Raw genomic sequence first — 21097 nt, forward strand, 5'->3', positions numbered from 1 at the left:
TCTTTTAACATCTGGCTATCTCACGAGACTGTATGTCCTAACAGTGCTTGTAGTCTCATGAGATAGCCAGATGTTAAAAAAAAAAAACAGCATCAAATTTAATGTGTGTTATGAGATGGCTTATGCAGGGCATTATGAGAATATAAGGTTTTCAAGCTGGGCCTATTGCTCTGACACCCTCTACTGCCCACTGAATGTGAAAGTCTAGGAAAAGAGGGTTGTTAGATTAGTTGCAAGCTGCTGTTTAAAAACCACGTTAACACGTTTGATAATGAGTGAATAGTCCTCTCTCCATATCTAGGCCACGTGTGATGGCCTGTTTAATATTGCTTTGGGGAAGGAAAAACAAAGAATGAAAAAAATTGCAGTTGTTGAAATGTACAGGATTTTTTTTCCCTGATAAGTTATCATTTTGGATGGGTGGAGAATTCAAATAGAAGAACAGTTTGGAACCTATTGACTGAATTACAAATTGGGATAATTTACTGATTTTTCTCTCAATCAAAGTTTTTCTGGGTGACAAAATCATTTGTACAGCAAACCCTAGTAACGTGCAATTTATCCATGTAACAAATGTGCTCATGTACCCCCGAACCTAAAATAAAAATTGGAAAAGAAAAAATAAATTGGTCAGAATCATACCCAAGAATAGCCCTTAAATAAAACATCTGGTTAATAATTATTTGACTGCAATCAGAGGATACTGCTAAAGATTTTTAGAGGACCCCTGAAAGGGTTATATTAATATCCTTAATAAAATGTGAATTTTTTGCTTAAAAAGTGATTTTCCAACACCTGTTAAAAAAGCAATCAATCGAGGTTTCAAGGTTTCTCATCTGGGCCATTAGTGGCATTTGAACCAGATAATTCTTGGTTTTGGGGTGCTGTCCTGTGCATTGTAGGATGTTTAGGAGAATCCCTGGCCTCTATCTATCTACTTTGCAGCATTCTCCACCAAGTTGTGACAATCAAAATTTTCTCCAAATGTCCCCTGAGGGTGGCAAAACCAACAGTTGTCTAAATTAAACTGGGTTTATATGTTTTAATTCAATGACCTCAATGAGGAAAACCTACTTTATTTTAATAGTAAGAAGTCTAGGTCAGGGAGTATTGTGAGTCATTTTGTACATTTCCAAGACCCACAACTCCTCCTTTGAAAATGATAAAATGAATTTGGACAACCCATTATCCAATTAAACATTATACTCATATCCCTTTGTTATGTCTGGAAGTTTTTCTAAACTTTATAGTTTATATAATTTCTAGCAAGGCTGAGAACCTCAGTTATTTAATTGAGACCCTGAAAGCTATAGAATATCCCTGGAACAAAATCAAGATTTAAAATTGGCTTGAAAATAACAAATGAAGATATTTTGATTTGACTCCATGTTCTCAGCCTGGAAGCTATTGGATTGTGTGAGACGCATGACCCAAAGGAGATGATTAGTTTTCCTCCAGTGTGATGATAATGAATAGCACTACAAAACCAATTAGCTATAATTCTATCAGTCATTTCCTTTGGGTAACATTTTGTTTAAAGGGAAGAAAAAACAACACAGTTTTCCTTGGAGATCTTTGATGAAGCTGTGGTATTTGATGGGAACAATGGAGGAAAAAGCAGTATGCTTACCAATTTGCTTTTATTATTCCTGCATGAAAGTAAATCATGATGAAGTGTTCTGTTCACAGCAGTTAAGAAAGACATTTGTTCATCTTAAAGGTGTAGCAGACCAAACACAAGTATATTTCTAAGTGTGCATTTCATTTATATGGATTGTACAACTCCAAGGAATTGCCATTCACATGGAAGACTGAGAATGGTGTCCCCTGGGACTGTGTAGCAGGAGACACTGAATGTTGTTTCCTTTCCTTCTGTTATTATCCCCCTTGAAAAACCGTGAACCCAGAACCACAAGTAACAGATAATGTCTCTCCTCTTTATTCTCCCAGTCATTGTCGTTGCTCTGTAACACACAATGCCCACTGTCATGCTGACAATAATGTCAACAGTCTTTGTTTTCCTTTTTCCAGCAAGGTATTTTATGGATAGGTATTGTTCTATTTAACGTGCCGTCATCTGTTACAAGAAGATATAATTTTACTGTTGTCTGAGTATCCTTCTATGACTTCTGGGCATTGTGCAATTTTTATCTCAACCCACACAGGGGAATATGACTTGGGTGTGTGTTGTTTGTTTTACTTGAATTTTAATATATGCAGCTTGTGACACAGATTACTAGTTTATTAGAAAAAAATACAATGAGTTATTGTCTTGGACTTTCGATTTATTTTGCTCACTGTCATCCCACAGCTAGCCAAAAAAATCCGAGAGAAGTTCAACCGTTACTTGGATGTGGTCAATCGGAACAAGCAAGTTGTAGAAGCATCCTATACGGCTCACCTAACCTCTCCCCTAACTGCAATTCAAGACTGCTGTACTATCCCACCTTCCATGATGGAGTAAGACTTTAAAACTTTTTGTTGTTGTATAAACCAGACATTGAATTGCTTATACATTTCATTTCATATTCAAAATACCTGTGTTTATTTATTGCAAATTGTGTAGCTTGTTTCCCACTATTTAAGATAAGCCCTTTATCTTTAGATAAGTGATTTTTAAAGAAAATGTGATTCAGTGTTCTATAGCCAGGAAATTCCTGGACCCTCCCTACTCACCTTTTTCTCCTGATGAAATGCAAGTTGAGGAGTATCAACTATTTATTTGAGTACAGAATCTAAATCTAGAAAATTGGAAATGCTTTGTCATGAGTCAACTATTAAGCCATGTCACTTGCTTAATTTAAGGGAGTGCCTTTTGTCTTTAAAAGAGTAACCAAAAATTCCCATTCCTTACTTTAGTAGATACTATCTTTAAAACTCCTATGGGAAATGTGTTTTCAGATCATATTGAAACAGGTTTGTATCTGCATGATTGAGGATATTTTTATTTATTGGCCTAGTGATACTTATATCTGGAGGGGTATAGGGCTATGGGATGCTGGAAATTGTAGTGGAAAGAACACTTATCTGGAGGTGCAAAGAGCTTAGTTTTAAGTTTGACTTGGTCTTTAATTAGCTGTGTGTCCTTCATCAAGTTACTTAATGTTTATTTTTATGCTCAGTTTTCTACCAATGTGGAAAATAATCTTATACCAATTTTCTAGTGCTACTTAGAATAAATAAAAGACGTTAATATGTTTTTAAAATATGAGTGTAAATGTAAATTAGTATTTATTATTCCTCTCTTTGCATGACAAGTGCTCTTGCGGCTAGGCAAAGGATGGATATAATGGTTTTTGGTGGTTAAATGATGCTTTGTTTCCATAAGCAAGTTTTTACTTATTATGATTTCTTGCTGGGCTTTTAGGTAGCAGGGCATCCTCAAGTCATTTTATTTCTCCATTTATATGATGTTAAGATGTGCCTTTGTCTGGCTTACCCTGTCTGTGGCCTGAAGAAACTCATACTAGTTGTTCTCTAAACTAAATGGAAAGCATATATAATTTGGAATGAGACTGTCTGGATAGGAATTCTACCCCTAACACTCAATACCCACATGGTCTTTGGATATTTGGTGTCTTTGAGCAACCCTGTCTTTATTTCTGGAATGAGAACAATAACTAATACTCCAGGATGTTGTGAACATTTCAGTGAAATCAAATGTGAAAGTAGTTTGTAAACTGTAATGTTCTAAACAAGTATTAGCTGTAATATTGCATATTTGTATACCTTCATATCAGAGTGAACATTTCAATTTTTGTTAGGTATTAGTTCCTTCTCACACCACTAATAAAGACATACTTTAGACTGGGTAATTTATAAAGGAAAAGAGGTTTAGTGGACTTACAGTTCCACATGGCTGGGGAGGCCTCACAATCATGGCGGAAAGTGAAGGAGGAGCAAAGACACGTCTTATATGGTGGCAGGAAAGAGTGTGTACAGGGGAGCTGCCCTTTATAAAACCGTCAGATCTCGTGAAACTTACTCACTGTCACGAGAACAGCACAGGAAAACCCACCCACCGATTCAATCATCTCCCACTGGGTCCTTCCCATGATATGTGGGGATTATGGGAGCTACAATTCAAGATGAGATTTAGGTGGGGACACAGCCAAACCATATTAGGTATAATCAAAGATTATCTTTTATAGTGGGGCACCTGTAACTTAATGTTTTGACAACCTTACCACTATCTAAAAATAAAATGAGGGTCCAGTTGGGTTTTAGGCCCAAAGAAGAAACCATTTTCAGGGCAGGAAGAACAGATAGTAAGGTAAGGAGAAGTTCTTAGAGCTAGATTTATGCATTTTTCTCCTAGGGAAAGACATGTGGCAATGTCTGGACGCATTTTCAGTTGTCACAACTTAAAAGGCTGGAAGAAAGCTCCTGGCATCTCGTGAGTAGAGTCCAGGGATACTGCTAAACATCCTATAACATTCAGGACAGCTCCCCAAGACAAAGAATTACCTTGCCCAAAATGACAGTAGTGCCAAGGTTGAAAAACCCTGGCTTAGCACATTGGGGATCTTCATAAATTCCTAAGTAGAACTAGTGCTCTAGAGGGGAAAAAACCTGAAACTTGAATTGGCTGGCTGCTACTGGTGAATCTACCCAGTCACTTGCCCACCTGGTGAATTTCTATGAATGTTTCAAGGAGCAACTCAACAATTGCCCTTTCTTCATAGCTTCCAATTACCTCTTTCTTTCCTCTCCTTATTCCCTTTTGTCCCTGGAAGAATTTATTGCTCTCTCATCTTTATTCCCATAGTAATTTCCATACATCTCTATATAGTGTAGAACTTAATGTATCAGACCTTGTTGTGAGTTGGCCTCCCCTTCTGTTCTGGGCAGGAATTACACCTCATCTTTTATTACCCCTAGCACCTGGCCATTGTATTTAATTTTTATACTATTTGTTGGAATCTGAATTGATTTAAATTGATATAGGAACGAGTAAGAAGGTGTCTACTCTCTAGAAATGTATAAGTTACTGGGTGTGGAGTGGCAAATATTGAGCATAATTAATAGGGCAAAATGTGACATAGCAGAGAGGTATTGTGGTTCCTCAAAGCAGAGAACTATACCAGATAGGTTGTATTGGAAATGATTTTATGAACTTCAGAAATATGCCTCTTACTTGATTTGGCCATTAGGAGGAACATCACAAAAATATATATAATATAAACATGTAAAGAAAAATACCGCAGTACCATTTAGAATAGAGAAAATTATAAATACTCTAAATTTCTAGCAATAGAGGATTAGTTAGGAAAATTGTATCACATCCATATATATGAGATGGTAAGATGCAGCCATGCTGTTGAAGCTGACTTGTGAGAATGGTCAGACATACATACACACATGCATACATTACACTTGATATTAGCCAAAAAGCCAAGAACACACATGTGTGCATTAAGTTTGGGAGTAAAGACAGTGATTTCCATTTTGAATATGTTGAGATAAGGGTTCAGGTCTGGGATAGAGGCCATCTAATTTGGTAAAACCCAGTGGTCAACCTTTTTGTTAATACAATCAAGCATAAAATGTAGTTTCTGTCCTTTAGGAACTTCTCATTTAGTTAGTTGAACATCCATGAGACCTTAACTGTACCCCTAGAAAAATACACACCAAGTAAGCAGATTAGTAGGAGAGAATGTTCCTCCTTCAGAGGTGGGACCTCTGCACTGAATGCTGAAGATGCAGTATTCTCTCCTGACCAGGAGTAGTTGACAGAGCCAAGAACTGCTTGGGGTGGATATTGGAAAACCAAAGCAGTTCTGAAGGTAAAGCTGAACAATCAGAGAATGTACAGATAAGCAATACAATGAACCTCCTTCAACAAATTTTAAAGATACCTGACAACAGAGAGATCTTTTGCAACAGGAAGTGGCCTGTGAGGACTCCCTTCAATTATACTGTGTCTACTTGGCTTTGAATGGAGCCCACTTTCCAGTGAAATGTGTGAAGGAATTTTGGGAGTGAACCCTGAGCTGATACTTTTCTAGACTTTGGTTGAACACAAGCACTTTGTAAAATTACAGGAACTCCTCAGTTTTTTAATGAAGATTTAAAAATGGAAAGAGTTAGTAGTATGTTGTTGCAGTGAACAAGGGTACAAATTCTCAGCTAGCCACCTTTGTTCCAACCCCTCAGAAAGTGCTTTATCTGCATATTCTAACAGCTGGGGTGCCTGCTGAACACATTTTCAGTTCACGCCTTCCTTTTGTTTTTTTGGAGATAGAGTCTCACTCTGTCACCCAGGCTGGAGTGTGATGGCACCGTCTCGGCTCACTTCAGCCTCCATCTACCAGGCTCAAGCGCTTCTCACGCCTCAGTCTCCCAAGAAGCTGGGACTACAGGGGCGTGCCACCACGCCCGGCTAATTTTTGTATTTTTAGTAGAGATGGGGTTTCACCATTTTGGCCAGGCTGGTCTCAAGCTTCTGACCTCAGGTGATCCACCCACCTTGGCCTCCCAAAGTGCTGGAATTACAGGCTTGAGCCACACTTGAGCGACTGCACCCAGCTGACACTTTCCTATATTCCAATCCTTCCAAAAATGTCTCTATTTTGAATCTTAACAACTTCATGTTGGAGTTAGGTGAGGAAAGGAAGATCTCCTAGTCTTTTGAAGCAGTCTAAGGATGTGGTTAAAAACTTTTTTTTTAATACTAGGGAGATTTGGTTTTGAATCTCATGAACTCATATGTGGACCTTTGGAAGTCACTTATTCTGAGCCTCAGTTTCCTCATCAGTGAGATGAGGATAATGAGAGTACCCACCTCACATGGTTGTTATAGAGGAGATGTTTTTAGGTTATACTTAGACATTTTTTTAAATTTGATTAAGTATTTACTTCAATATTTACTATGTCAACAGTTTTTTTTTCTCTACTGGCAATAACAAAGTTTCTTTTTAATGTAAATGTAGCTAAATAAAATTGAATTATTTTAAATGAAAACATTAAGTGAATGTGACCAAATGTTTGAAAGTGATAGACATGTAGTAGTGACTGAAGTTCATGAAAAATGGGCTCAAGATTATTGCTAAAGTCCTTCCAAACTGTAAGATATTGTAGTTCTATGAGGCAAACGCTTTAAAACCGTTTATGCCTATGGACTGTATCTTGCCATATGTATATGTATTAATACTGCCTTTATAATAAATATAAGCAGTTGGACCTCAGATAAGAGACCTCCAGTCTTAGTTCTGAATCTTCTTCATTCTTAAGTCATCTGGGCCTTATGAACATTTTTTTTAAACTCAGCACTGACCCAGTGGTATGATGGCTGTTTGTTACTAACATTTTAAGTGCCTGTGGCCTATTGACCTTGCTTCTTCTCCAAATATACTAAAGATTAGTTAGAACTAGACAATGTTTTTATAAGTAATTTTAACTAATGGCTAATTTTTACTTTTTGTCTCAGGCCTAACTTTTCATTTTTAATGATTATAATCCATATTTGGTTTTCTCCAGTAGTGCTTAATAGTACATATTTTTTAAAAATAAAATGCCTAGTTCTGAAGAGAGAGGAGCTTTAAAGACCTTTGTTACAGAGCATTAGGCTATAGTATGACGACAACAGAGAGAACCTGCAAAGTGGCAGAAAATTCATTTTTCAGACGGGTTTCATACTTTCCTTCTCAGACCAGTCAACTCTTAAAATTCTTGCACAGGAGCCTTAGAAGTTAATTATTCTGCACAAGACGCTGCCTAGTGATTAGGTACTCTGTCAATGTTTGTTGTTGAAGGAATGATCTAAAGAATTTGCATTCTTCAATATGGAAAAAAATAGGCTAAATTTAATCAAAAACAAACTCATTTTCAACGGTATCACTTAAAACAACATAGTTTTGAGAGTGGGCTCATTTATTTATATAATTTAATTCGCAGCTCCCTTTGTGTTCCTTTAGGTGAGGTGCTAGGGACACAGGAGATCCTGGGCTCTCCCACAAGGAGTGAACAAATGCATAATTACACCTATGGACTATATCTGATCTACAGGCATATTTTTTTCGGCCCTCAGTGTTTTAAAGGTTTTTAAATTTGTAAATTTTAAAATCTGTTGCCAACATTTAAACTTTGAAAGATTAGCAATTTAGAAATCCAAATATCTCTCCTCTCTTGAAAAATCAGAAGATTTGGCAATACTGGATCCACACTGCTACTTGGTAACAGTCTGCTTTCATGAAGAGCAGCTCCCCTTTCAGGACAGGGGATGAGTTCCTGACCTGATGTGTTATACCCAACCTATTTTCCTGATTTATATCACTATTTGGCCCACCTTAGCTGTGAATTTGCAATTCCTGACCTTAAAAGACCATACGATATTAATAGATTTGACTTAAGAAAAATGTCTTATCCATGTGCCTTCCCTGTTATGCCAACTTAAAAATGTCCATTCTCATTCTCTCAAGTTTTAAAGAATATAACTCCTTTAGGCATAACACTAAGAATAGCTATCCCTGAAACCCAGCTTGCCACAGAGATGAGGTTCTGATGTGTGCTTCTAAAGCTATTGTTTATTCAGCAGGCCATACTGATCCTTGGCTTTTATATAAACAAATCAATACTTTTTTTTTTTTTTTTCTTAAGACAGAGTCTCGCTCTGTTGTCCAGGCTGGAGTGCAGTGGCACGATCTCATGCCTCAGCCTGCTGAGTAGCTGGGATTACAGGTGCGCCACCACGCCCAGCTAATTTTTGTATTTTTGTAGAGAAGCGGTTTCACTGTGTTGGCCAGGCTGGTCTCGAACTCCTGGACTCAAGTGATCTACCCGCCTCAGCCTCCCAAAGTGCTGGGATTACAGGCATGAGCCACCATGCTGGGCCCAGATCAATACTTTTATTGTCCACATCACTTAATTGATTTATCTATTTCTTTCCCCAATTTCTTCTATAGACGTTACTACCTGTTGGTATTCTTATTTTTTTAATTTTTGGTGTCTTTATTTAAAAAGAAGGGGGCAAAGGGGAGCATAAGCTACGGAGGAAATACTGGAAAGATGAATTTAGATTTTTATTCTTTTTTGTGTCTCCAAGTGGGGTTCAGTGCTGTTATCCTCATTTAGTTAATGCATGTTAATTGGCTAATCATGGTTAGAACTGGCATTAAGGCATCTGTCTGGCTTGATGAGCAAATGGATGCTCTGATGGAGTTAGAGTAAGTAAGCAACTTGTTTCCAAGGTTCTCTGAAGCCAGCCACCTGGAGCTGGAAGACTTCAGCTGAATAGATATTCTCTCAGGGGAAACTTAAAAAGCTTCACTGATTCCAAAAATGAAGAAACTCTTGGAACCATTGTCAAATTGGATTCCTGCTATTTTACAGGGAGCTCTTTGAGTTGGGGCATCCACTGAGATTGATATAGTCACTGTGGAAGGCAGATAGGACTCATCTCATCTTTTAAGAACACAAATTTAGTGCATTTCCAGCTGGCACCCACTTGAATTATATGATTTCAGGAATCCCATCTTATTCAACCTCTTGAGGGTATTGTGCTGCAGACAAAGCAATTAGCATTAGGTTTTGATACAAGAACACAGGCTCCTGATTATAATAATTCTCATGAATAGCACCGTTATAACCTTGTGTTAGATAGGGTCCTCCAAAGAAGTAGAACCAATAGCGTGTGTGTGTGTGCGTGCGTGTGTGTGTGTACATACAGAGAGATGGATATTTATTGTTAGGAATTAGTATTGTGGAGGTACAAGTCCAAAATACATGGTAGGCTGGCAAGCTGGAGACTCAAAGGAGAGTTGCAGTTGGAGTTCAAAGGCAGTCTGCTAGGGAAATTTCTTCTTGCTTACAGAACGTCTGTCATTGTTCTACTAAGTCCTTCAATTGATGAGGCCCACTGATGTTATGGAGAATAATCAACTTTACTCATCACCTATTATTTAAATGTTAATCTCATCTAAAACATTTTCTTCACAGAAACATCTAAAATAGTGTTTGGCCAAACCTATCTGGGTAACATAGCCCAGCCAAGTTGATATAAAGTTATCCCTCCTGCCCTTTTACCCCTTTTATCTTTAGAAAGGATAGAAAAGTGTACTACTAAACCTATCATTAAAATTAAGGTTTTGTTAACCTTCGGATTTAGACTGGAGAAGGCTAAACTCTCACAGAACTTTCTACCGTATTCTCCTACACAGCTTCTCTTAAAAAAGTTAATGCTCAGCCGGGCGCAGTGGCTCACGCCTGTAATCCCAACACTTTGGGAGGCTGAGGTGGGCGGATCACGAGGTCAGGAGATCGAGATCATCCTGGCTAACATGGTAAAAACCCGTCTCTACTAAAAACAAACAAAACAAACAAACAAAAAATTAGCCGGGCGTGGTGGCAGGCGCCTGTAGTCCCAGCTACTCGGGAGGCTGAGGCAGGAGAATGGCATGAACCTGGGAGGCAGAGCTTGCAGTGAGCCAAGATCGGCGCCACGGCACTCCAGCCTGGGCAACAGAGCAAGACTCTGTCTCAAAAAAAAAAAAAAAAAAAAAAGTTAATGCTCATGTAACTGAGCTGCCTGGAAAGGAATCTCAGCATTTGAGTAATTCTTTTTTCCCTGTAAATTGGTTGTGTATTTTGTGGCATGATTTAGATGTTGTATACATTTCTATAATAGGATTTCAAGTTCTTTAAGTATTATTGACGTCATATGAGCCAGAGGTAACTTACTCAGAGGGTTGTTTTTAATTTTGATGATTAACATGCTGACCCATAATGTTCAGATTCCTGTACTTAGCTCTTTAGGAATTTATAGTAGATTTAAAAGATACAATTTCCATTCTTAAGGGACTTAGCTTCAAGTCAAGGGTTTTGTTTTGTTTTGTTTTGTTTTGTTTTTTAATTATTTGTTTTTAAACTGAACTCAAGCATGAGCTTCTATCATTTCTAAGAAGAGGCAAGTCTTTTTATTTTATTTGCAGCTACTATGGTGCAAAAGAAGTATCATAAGCAGTAAGTTCAGTTGTGATGTAAATTATACCTGAGTCATGTAGTACAAAGAGTGGATGGGCCTCCACTCTGCCACTTTGCCATGTAATCTTGGGACGTTCACTTAACATCTTTGGTCCTCAGTTTCCTCAACTGTAAAATGAGCAGTTTGAACTATATTTCAGAGACTCTTCCAACTTTGAAGACTGATATAATTTTCCTCAAACTCCTTAGAAGTTTGTTTGGTTGTTTGTTTGTTTTTAAACTGGAGCCATTTGCCATTATAGGCAACTTTTCCTACTGCTCAAATTAATAAATTCTGGGTTCCATGAGAGAGTTTGTTTTTATCTTTTTGAGAGTGACCTTATGGGGGGATAAAAGATGATATGCAGCAAGACTTACAGAGGTTAAATCACTCACTCATCCATTCGTTTGAAAAAATAAAGGCTTGTGGAATGGTTTATGGAAGAAACATTTCAGCTGGGTATTTAAGCAGGAAGAGGATTTGAATATATGGAGATATGGAGGAAGAGCTTTCCAGGAGAGGAAGCTCAATATGAAGAAACCCCAAGCGTAGAAATGACCAGGAGCACTGAAGAGGGACTTGCATATGGAGCAAATGATGGAAGAGGCAGCTAAGAAGTTGGATCAATATTAGATCATAAGGATCCTCAAATGCTAGACTGGAGAATTTAAACTTTGTTCAGTAGGGTTTAGGCTCCATAAGTGAAGTAAAGAACAATGTCTATCTTTCTCTTGCTTCTGTATCTATGGTCTAATACATAGTAGACACTCAATAAATATTGGTTGCTTGAATGAGGGAATTAATTTATGAGTTCTTGAGAAAGGGAGTAAAATGATGAGACCTGAACTTTAAGGGAATTCCACTTCTTAATCATGTAACAACTAGAAGTAACTAGAACCTGATTTCATTTATGTAAGCAAAGAGCAAGAGGAGGCCTGGACTTGGATGTTGGCTCCTACTTCTTGAGTTTTGGAAGAGGGAGGAATCATAGGTGGCCAAAGTTGATTTTGGGTAACTGAGAGTGATGGTACCAGGTGCTAAGGCATATTTGTTCTTTATGTACTCTCTCATCTTTCTTAGTTACTTTAGTTCAGGGACCCTGTCAGATACAACTGTATTCAATACCTTGCTTAAATAGGTCCTCGATAAATATTTGCCAAAGGAGTTAGTTTGTGGTAGCAAAACTGACTTTGTTTTTAGTGTTTGAGTCTCAGTCACTATGATGCTGTCAGAATTAACAAGCTACTTACCTTCTGGGCAGAAATTGAACAATATTATTAAATACTTTTTTGCCTATTCATGATAGTCATTGTTTTAATCTGAACAGTGTTATTACAAGCTCTGATGTGAAACATGTTTGATATTGATTTAGTTATCTCAGTTATCAGTTATGCTTAACAGTTTTGTTATATGCATGATGAATTTAAAAAATATACATTCCCAAATGCTGACATACATGTATATCATTTTCGACTCAACTTGTCTGTACCATCTTCAAGGCAGTTAATGTATAAGACATTGTACTAGGTACTGTCTGATGGACAAAGATGAATAACACAGTATGTACCTCCAAGAGCTCATAGGACACATGTAGAGTAAGCTAAGGCAGTCTGTGGCAAATGTCATAAAAGAAATCCAAAGACTTTTAGAGGAGGAAGAGATTATGAACAAAGGCCTCGTAATGCTCAAGCTTGGTGAAAAAGTGGTAGTCAAGGCCTTGAAGAGTGGAACTTCCACAGATAGATCTAGGGGAAAAATGCTTCAGACCAGAAAACAGCAAGTGTCCATATAGCAATTGAGGATGGGGAGGTGGAAGACCCAGCTGGCACAATGGAAAAGAGAAACACCATGGTGGGCTTGAAACACTAGGTCAGCTACACAAATTTCTCTCGGTAAGCAGTAGTTTTAAAGCAAGGAACGGCTGTGGTCAGGTCTTGGGCAAATTAATTAGTTGGCAAATGAAGAATAAATTACGGTAGAAGGGCAAGTTGCTTGTCAAGTTGGGCCAGTTAGATAATCACAGACAAAGTAATGACACCTTAAGGTACAAAGGTACAAAAGCAAAGACGTCCAGGGGCTGGTGTATTATATAGAGTGTCAAAATAGGGATGTACAGTATGTGGAATCTGGCAACTAGGTTTTCTTGGAGAGTTTGGTAAGGAGGAAGATTAGAAATCACAGCTCCAAATTTTAAATTGAGCATTTTAGGAGATGGGAATCTATTAACTAAAGGGTGAAAAGAGGAGCAAAAGAAAACTTTTAGGAGAAAAATGATGGATCCAGTATAAACATGCTGATTTGGAGTTGCACGTAGATCATTCTTGGGAGATGTTTGCTAAGCAGCTGAGATTAACCTGCAGCACCATTTTATTATCATCCCACTAATATTTTTACGCCTGTAACTATGTCATGTGCATGGCAGTTCAGGTGAAGGTGAAATTTGAGATGTCTACTTTTAATGTTGTATTAATGTACAGTTTTGTGTAGAATGATGTTTCAAGACATACAGCTGACCCATAAGTTGGCAACTCCTATTTTTTTCTAATCCAATTTTAAGGTAGTGCACATGGAAAATATGATATAAAATGTTTAACCTTATATACATCTTATTTCTTATTATTACTGTTTTTATGAGAAATAAAATAATGTGACTTAGGTGCTTATAACTTTTGTTCCTTTGTTATCTCTGTGTCACAAGGTCAAATAATGTGACAAGCTTGGTCCTGAACAACTGAGTTTAAATTTTTTGCAAGTCATATTATTTCTCCATGAAGATATGTTTTGTGTTTATGCCCAATGAAGTGTTGTATGGCAAGTCTTAGTCTTTCAAGTCATTTTCACTGCCTTATCTCACACTTCCATTTCCAATGCCTTTAAAAATTATTATTACCTGCAGGCCGACTAAATGTTACTGATAGCCTTTCTGGATATTGGTACCAGAGGACTGGAGTTGAGCTCAAATTTAACAAAGATATTACAGAAAGCTTTGTATTTATGAAAACTTAGTTACATATGTTTATACTTCAGTGAAATACTTTTTTAGGCCTGTTCCTCTTTAAACAATGTGTTACTTACATTACATTCTTCATATGTTTCTCTGAACAACCTGGTGGGGTAGAAACTGTCTCTGCCCACCTCCCTCATCCCCACTTTTACAGATTAGGAAATAGGCTTAGAAAGTTTATGGCAGGGTAATCCCAGCACTTTGGGAGGCCGAGGCGTGGGGATCATCTGAGGTTAGGAGTTCGAGACCAGCCTGTCCAACATGGTGAAACCCCATCTCTACAAAAAATACAAAAATTAGCTGCGCATGATGGTGGGCGCCTGTAATCCCAGCTAGTTGGGAGGCTGAAGTAAGAGAATCGCTTGAACTCGGGAGGCAGAGGTTGCAGTGAGCTGAGATCGTGCCATTGCACTCCAGCCTGGGCAGCAAGAGCAAAACTTTGTCTAAAAAAAAAAAAAAAAGAAAGAAAGGTTATGGCAGGACTTACTGGAGAGCCAGGTTTGGAATTTAGGTTTTCTGATTCCAAATGCTGTTTTCTTTTAATGGTACTCTGACCAGTAGTAAAATTAGAATGGCTCATCTGCCAAGTGAAATGCTAAACTATGTGTTCCTTCTTAGAATTCTACTTGAGGTAACTAGATGACCCTCCAAAGTTGCTAAATTGGCTGACCTGCAGCAATTTGTGCCATTTCCCTGTGTGTGCTTGTGTGTGTGCATTAGGTAGATGTCTTTATCTTTAGGAGTCTTGATGAGTACCCTTATAGCAGAAAGCGCCTGCATTTGGATCTGCTGAGAATCTAGCTTCCTGCGTTTTTCGTGTGACCTTCATTGAAGGAAGAATGGGAAACCTGCCTCACTGCTTACGCTATTGAATTTCACCAGCTGCCTTTTATGGATTTTAAATAGAGATGGTTTTGTGATTTTTCTTTCTTTTTAAAATCTGATCTCTGTAGAAAACTGCCTAGCAGACTATACCAGCTTTAAGAAATAGAACCTGTCTTAGCTGAAAAGCAACCTTTTTGTGCATTTTTATTGTGAAAAATACCAAAGCAATTTCAAAGAAGGCCCAGATTTAAAAATCTATCTATAATCTCTTTCTGGGGACTTGACTTATCTGGTACGATGATGTAGATATCTGTCTTTACACTCTAGCTTTATTAACTTGTTAACATTGGGATAGTATTCCTTTTGTAGAATCAGCCATAAGTATTCTGCATCTTATATTTTTCTGTTTCTTTAACAGAACAGGGAGATGTATGGACAGGACTCTTCCCTCCTCGGTGCATGTGTGCTGGTAGATGGAACCAGTTAATCTCCAAGGTCATCTGCTAACTCTTAGTTGTTAGTGCCTCTCTTTTGTGTCTGTGTCATACCACTCACAGTTGTCTGCTGTGTACTGAATACTCAGTATGTGTGAGGGGAGAGAACACACCCAATTTACAGTCTCCGGTCTCTAGTCCTGGGAAATCTCAACCTCTTGGGCTTTCTGTGTGTATTTATCCAGCAGACATTGACTAAACTTTTGCTCTTCACAAGGAGACTCTGAGCTAGGCCCTGGGTATAAAGAAACATAAGAAAAGACCTCTCCCTTTGTGTCTACCAAGCAAGGGAGAAGGGTATATAAATAAATAACTGTAAAGTGTGTCAAGTCCCTATTAGAGGTCAAGTGGCAGGATGGACAGGGGTGCTATGGAACATCACAGAGGCAGCCTGCAGACCCCACCAAGCTGCTCTCCCCAGCCTGTTCTCTCTTTGATTTTTCCAGATACCCGTCTTTCTTCATGTGCCCCAGTCCAACCTGGTGATGAGGAAGATAAGGATAAATATTTAATGTGGTTGTGCGCCCACTTCCAATTCACCCTAGATGTCACCTGTGCAATTTTCCAAGCTTTTATGAGAAAGTGAATTGAATGATAATACCATCTGTTTGAATATAGAAGTGAGACACAAGGTCACAGCAGGGCCTTCTCTCCATAATCTGTTGTGGTAGGGAAATGGCGAAAAAGAAATATGGTTGGTCTGTGTGATACTTAGACTTAATAGAGAGGGAGACACTTTATTGCTCTGAAAGCCTTACCTTCCAAGGGCATTTGAAACCAGCCCTTGTTTCCAATCTGGCTGAGTTGCTGAACCCTGAAGGTTTAATCCTTATTACTGATAAGAAAGAAAGAATGTGACTTATCACTCCAATCTCTGCAGAGATGGAAGGAAAAACTATTTCTCGGAATGTGATTACATGTTATTTGACAGCTTTTTGGTTGGCCCATCTATTTAGGTGTTTGAATAAGTAAACTCAGTCGAGGGGGGGGTTGAGTATTATTTACTTTATAAATGTGATAGTTCCTTTTTGAAGTGATCCTGCTCTTGCCCCTTTCCTCTACCATTCAAACAGAGTTTAAATATTTGCCAGTGCAGATGTTTGATTTTTATCTTAGCTCTTTCTTTGTTTAACTTTATTCTCATGGGTGGTTAAGTGGACGATAAGGAGGTTCTTGTTTAATTCTTTTCAACTGGTGTTGCTCAAATATTTGGAGAGCAGATGCTTCCCAGAAAGAATGAGCGGGAACCTGGTTGAATAGAGGTGAAGAGATATGTCTCCGTGTCATATCACAGTAAACCAGACCCTGTTAGGCTGTTACTAGGGCCCAGGGGCTTAGTAGGCCTGAGTGTTTCTCAGTGTCCAGAACCTTCCTTTAGCAGCTCCTGCAGCTACTGGTGAAGGGTTTTTGCCGCCTTTGTTTTCCAGAAAAACGTGTGCTGTTCTAAAAACAAAGCTTGGTAATTCAGTGGCACTGGCAGCAAAGGCCTGCTTGTGTTGTGACCTCCCATCAGAAGCCTCTCAGCATTTCTTCCATACCCACTTCTGATCTGATACCAAGTTTTGCTTTCAGAAGAAATGATTTTTTTTAACCTTTTGCACTTATCTCAGCATTTTAGCAGTGATTAAAAACAAGCAAACAAGTAAAGAATATTCCCTACCCTATTAGCTATCATTACATTGGCTTTGTGTGTGGACTTGATGATCAGTTTCCACAGGGATTTGCTTTTTAATCATTACCTTAAAAATTCATCCATGAACAATTCCACATTTCATCACTGCCCTTGGAACTGACACTGTGGGTGTGATTTTTATATGCTATGTGATAAATGAGGCAGACTTCTCTGGAAATATTGAGAAAAACCCAGGTTTCTGAGTGATTTGCCTGGCAAATCACCTTCCCTAGGAAATTTAAACAAAGACCAAGAAAGGAAGTAAACCCCAACTGGTGTGTGAGTGGGGGGGTGCTGGAGGGGAGGCGGGGTCTTTATATCTCTTTCTTTCTAAACTGGGACTCCACTGAAAAGTTGATTTACACTGTGAATCGAGGCTGAATGAAATCCAATTGGAACTCACTTGAACACTGTTTTGATGTAAGATTCAAAGCTTCTGCAAATTTATTTTATCTTCTACATTTGCTGATCTCCTGCTTGTAAATCCTGTTGAAGGAGAATAAAAATGACTGCAGCCTGATGGGAATTAAATGTCTGAAGTTCAAAGCAGTTTGCACATCAGAGCAAACGTCAATCAAGTGAACATCTTGCAAGCCAGGCAGGGAGTGAATTTCTCCATGGGGAAGAGATCAAAGTGGGAGTCACAGTTCTGTTTTCTCCCTCGGGATGCAGTTTCGATCAGTTGTTCATGAAAGTAAATCCAGAAGGAAGTTTTTTTTTTGTTGTTTTTTTTTTTTTTTTTTTTTTTTTTAACTTACAGGGGTTGGAGAGATGGAGTTATTTCTCTTGAAACTGAATTTCAGACACTGGTTTTATCTTATGAAAATGAGCATAGAATGCAGTTATAGAGTCAGGGTCTAAAGGAGATTTAGATCAGAGTTTTCTATTGTCATTACTAACTTTTTAAAAGCACAGGCATGAGGAATGAAGCAAACCAAACCTCTTAAGTTGAATTGCCCATTCATTTTGTATGAAAATCTATGATTTTACCACTTCTTGGCCTTTCCATAAACCCGGAATTATATAAATGTGACTGGCAGCTAATGTACTTCTTAATGAAAAATCTTTTAGGTAACCCCTAAGAATAAGTGACATGTTTTTATAAAGTGTCCTAAGTATGAGCTTTATATTTCTCACATTCTCCAAATCAGGGCGAATAGCATGTTTCTTTTTATAAGTCACTTTTCTCAAAGGCATATGGGCATAAAATGCATTCCTGTCTTTGGCAAGGTGACTCTTCCTCTGGGGACCAGAGGTAGCTAAAGTAACAAGGATGGCTGAGCATGTTTTATCCCTGCGTGTGGAGTCCGGAGTCCAGAAAAAGCGGCAGGCATTGGAGTGTTAGTGAAGGGTAGAAAGATAAGCACTCTTCACTTTTGCTTCCAGTAGTTACTCCTGCTAGCCTAGCCAGTCCACCAGCCCTGTATATCTTAAGCCCCTATTGACACCTCCTTCTTTATCTGACCGGCACATCAGTGGTAGTGAGAAAAGCAGCAGAGTGAGGTTGATTTCTAGGCTTTTCATGCTAACTTGACTGGCGAGTGAATGCTGCACGGCTGAAATTCAGCACATGTGAGAGAACTCACGGCAGTTGAGACTCTTATGAAATACAGTAGATGTTCAATGAATATTATGAAATAAAATGCCCAGAGCTTTCTGGTGACTTAACTCTCTGCCCTTTCTCGTTACTCAGTCAACCAGTAAGAATTTATGGAATGCCCCACCTTCCAGCAACTGTGCTAGACGTGAGAGAGAAATATAAATCCTCCAGTAACCTACAGTCCCATTGGGGGAAGCTAAAATTTCTCAAGTGCATAAAAGGTTTTAGAGAGAATTGAGAATTCAAGAGCTACATGGATAGGGTTTAGTCAAATAGGGGTTCCATGATAATCATCTTTTGGAATTTCAACCCCATGTAACTGTAACACACATGTATTTGGCATAGGGGGAAGGCAAAATGAATAAGATAATTTGTTCATTATTTATAATAAATCTTATTTTTAAATTTTATTGATGCAATGGTCTGAATGTTTGCCTTCTCTGTCCCAAATTTATGTGTTGGAAACTAATCACCAATGTGATCATATTAGGAGGAATATGATTAGATATATTAATATCATTAATATTATTATATATTAATATTAATATATATTAATATCATTGCCTTTGGGAAATAATTAGATCATGAAGGCAGAGCCCCCATGAATGGCATTAGTGCCCTTACAAAAGAGGTCTCAGAGAGCTGCCTTACCCCTGTCACTGAGGTCACAGTGAAAAGGCCACATCTATGAACCAGAAAGTGGCCCCTCACCAGACACTAAATCTGCCAGTACCTTAATCATGGACTTCCCAGCCTCCAGACTTGTGAGAAATGAATTTCTGTTGTTCATGAACCAGCTAGTTTATAGTCCAAATGGACGAAGACAATTGATTAGTGTTTTGTTGGTATAAGCAGAATCTTAAAAAAAATCTATATCTAATAGATAGGACTGTGATATTATGTTGTTTGATTACAAAATAAGAAAAATAGGAAGAAGACATAGGCATATAGTTAAGAAGCAGAATGGCATTAGTCAGCTTGGAGGAGGAAGGACTCATCATGGGCCAGTACTAGGGAGAAATTTGAAAGAGGAAGAAGAGTTGAGCTGGGCTTTGAAGAAAGGGTGGAGTGGACACTGGAGAGCATCACAATTGGGGTCGAACAGAAGAGCACATAGGGAGGGGCCAGTTTCGTTAGAAGTGTAGGATAGGAGTTGGTGGGAAGAGAAGGTCGGATAGATTATTGTTGACAAGTACCACATGGTGAAACTACTTTATGATGGAGAAATGTTTATCAAGCACCTACTTTTGTTAATGAGTCACTGTCATTTTTATTGTTATAAAAATGTTTTTCTTTAATGCTGTTAGAGATTACCTTTTCAGCAAAGGAAGTAAAACAACCTATAATAATAGTTCCCTGATGTCCCTGGTCCCACGAGCCAGCCTGCATTTCACAAAGGTCCAGAAAAATCTATGTATCCTCAGCATTGGACTTCAGCTCTCTCAAGGGGTGATGCTGAAAGCGACGTGCTCTCTGTGGAGACTTCATCCAGATAGACAAAGGCTCTCTCCAGGTTTATACATTTCCTGGGAAGATTTGTCAGTAACCCTCTTGAGTTGCAAGTTCTTCTTTATTTATCACTTATGCAGAATCGTATGTGGTTTGTCTCTGGAAAGGAGTTGAGTGATGGGTTTAAGTCTCTCTTAGGTCCCTGACTTGCTATGTGATCTTTGGTGTCATTTTTCTCAACTGTGAAATGGGTAGGAGAAAGGGTTCATAACTTGGAGAGCAAAGTCCAGATGTCAGCTGCAGATGTACCTCAGAACTACCCTATTCTCTTCATCTAAATCCAATCAGAAGATCCGGTGTCTTCGGTCTCTTTGAGACCTACAGGGAAGTACCAGTGCTCATGCAGAAAGCCATTACTTTGCTTTATTTCTAAAAGAATCTGCATAGCAGGATTGGAGGGTACTTCTCATTCCTCCAGAGCCTGTGCAAATCAGATTCCTTGGCCTCACCCCAGACTCACTAAATCAGACTCTCTTAACGGTGGATCCCAGGAATCTGCATTCTAACATACATCCCAGGTGGTTCTGAAGTAGCTAGACTTTTAGTATTGGAACCATTCGACTGAGTCATGGTCCTCACTTGCCAAGATTTCTTGGAGCCTTCAGGGGAGCCCAGAACAGGAGTAGGTACCCTGGATGGTGTGGATGGTCATAAAAGACCAGGTAATATGAGCACCTACTTATGACCAGAACAATGCTAAGCAATGTATGCAGTGGTGAACAAAATCAACAAGACATGGTGCTTCCCTTCATGGCACTCTTGTCTATTTATGGAATCTGATCTATAAAAAACATGAATAGAACAATAATTTTAAAATTATGGCACATGCCTTGACAGAATATGGAGGCAGTTGACATAGACTTGGGAAGTCATCACAATCAGGATAGGCCTTTCTGAAGAAGGGAAACGTGAAGAGAGACCTGAAGGATTACTAGACAAGTAATCAGGAGAACCTTCTAGCCTTCCATTTCCAATATGGTAGCCACTCTTCAGTGACTATTTACAAACTAAGACGAAATAAAATAGAAAATTT

At 38.5% G+C, this 21097-nt stretch overlaps 1 protein-coding gene and 1 non-coding gene across 6 annotated transcripts in view; both read left to right on the plus strand.

Moving 5' to 3' along the window:
• CACHD1 (cache domain containing 1) overlaps window positions 1-21097 on the plus strand; it is a 222925-nt gene that overhangs the window by 109716 nt on the left and 92112 nt on the right. For 2 of the 5 annotated variants that reach the window (NM_020925.4, NM_001293274.2), the window contains exon 3: window positions 2312-2460. The exons of the other annotated variants lie outside the window; for them this stretch is intronic. In NM_020925.4, coding sequence (NP_065976.3) covers window positions 2312-2460 — 149 coding nt within the window. The remainder of the gene's footprint in view (window positions 1-2311; window positions 2461-21097) is intronic. 5 annotated transcript variants of the gene reach the window in all.
• On the plus strand, window positions 3-79 carry MIR4794 (microRNA 4794). The gene has a single exon (NR_039957.1). It is a non-coding gene; the product is annotated as a microRNA 4794 (primary transcript).

The sequence above is a fragment of the Homo sapiens genome, chromosome 1, assembly GCF_000001405.40.
Source record: "Homo sapiens chromosome 1, GRCh38.p14 Primary Assembly".
NCBI classification, from domain to species: domain Eukaryota; kingdom Metazoa; phylum Chordata; class Mammalia; order Primates; family Hominidae; genus Homo; species Homo sapiens.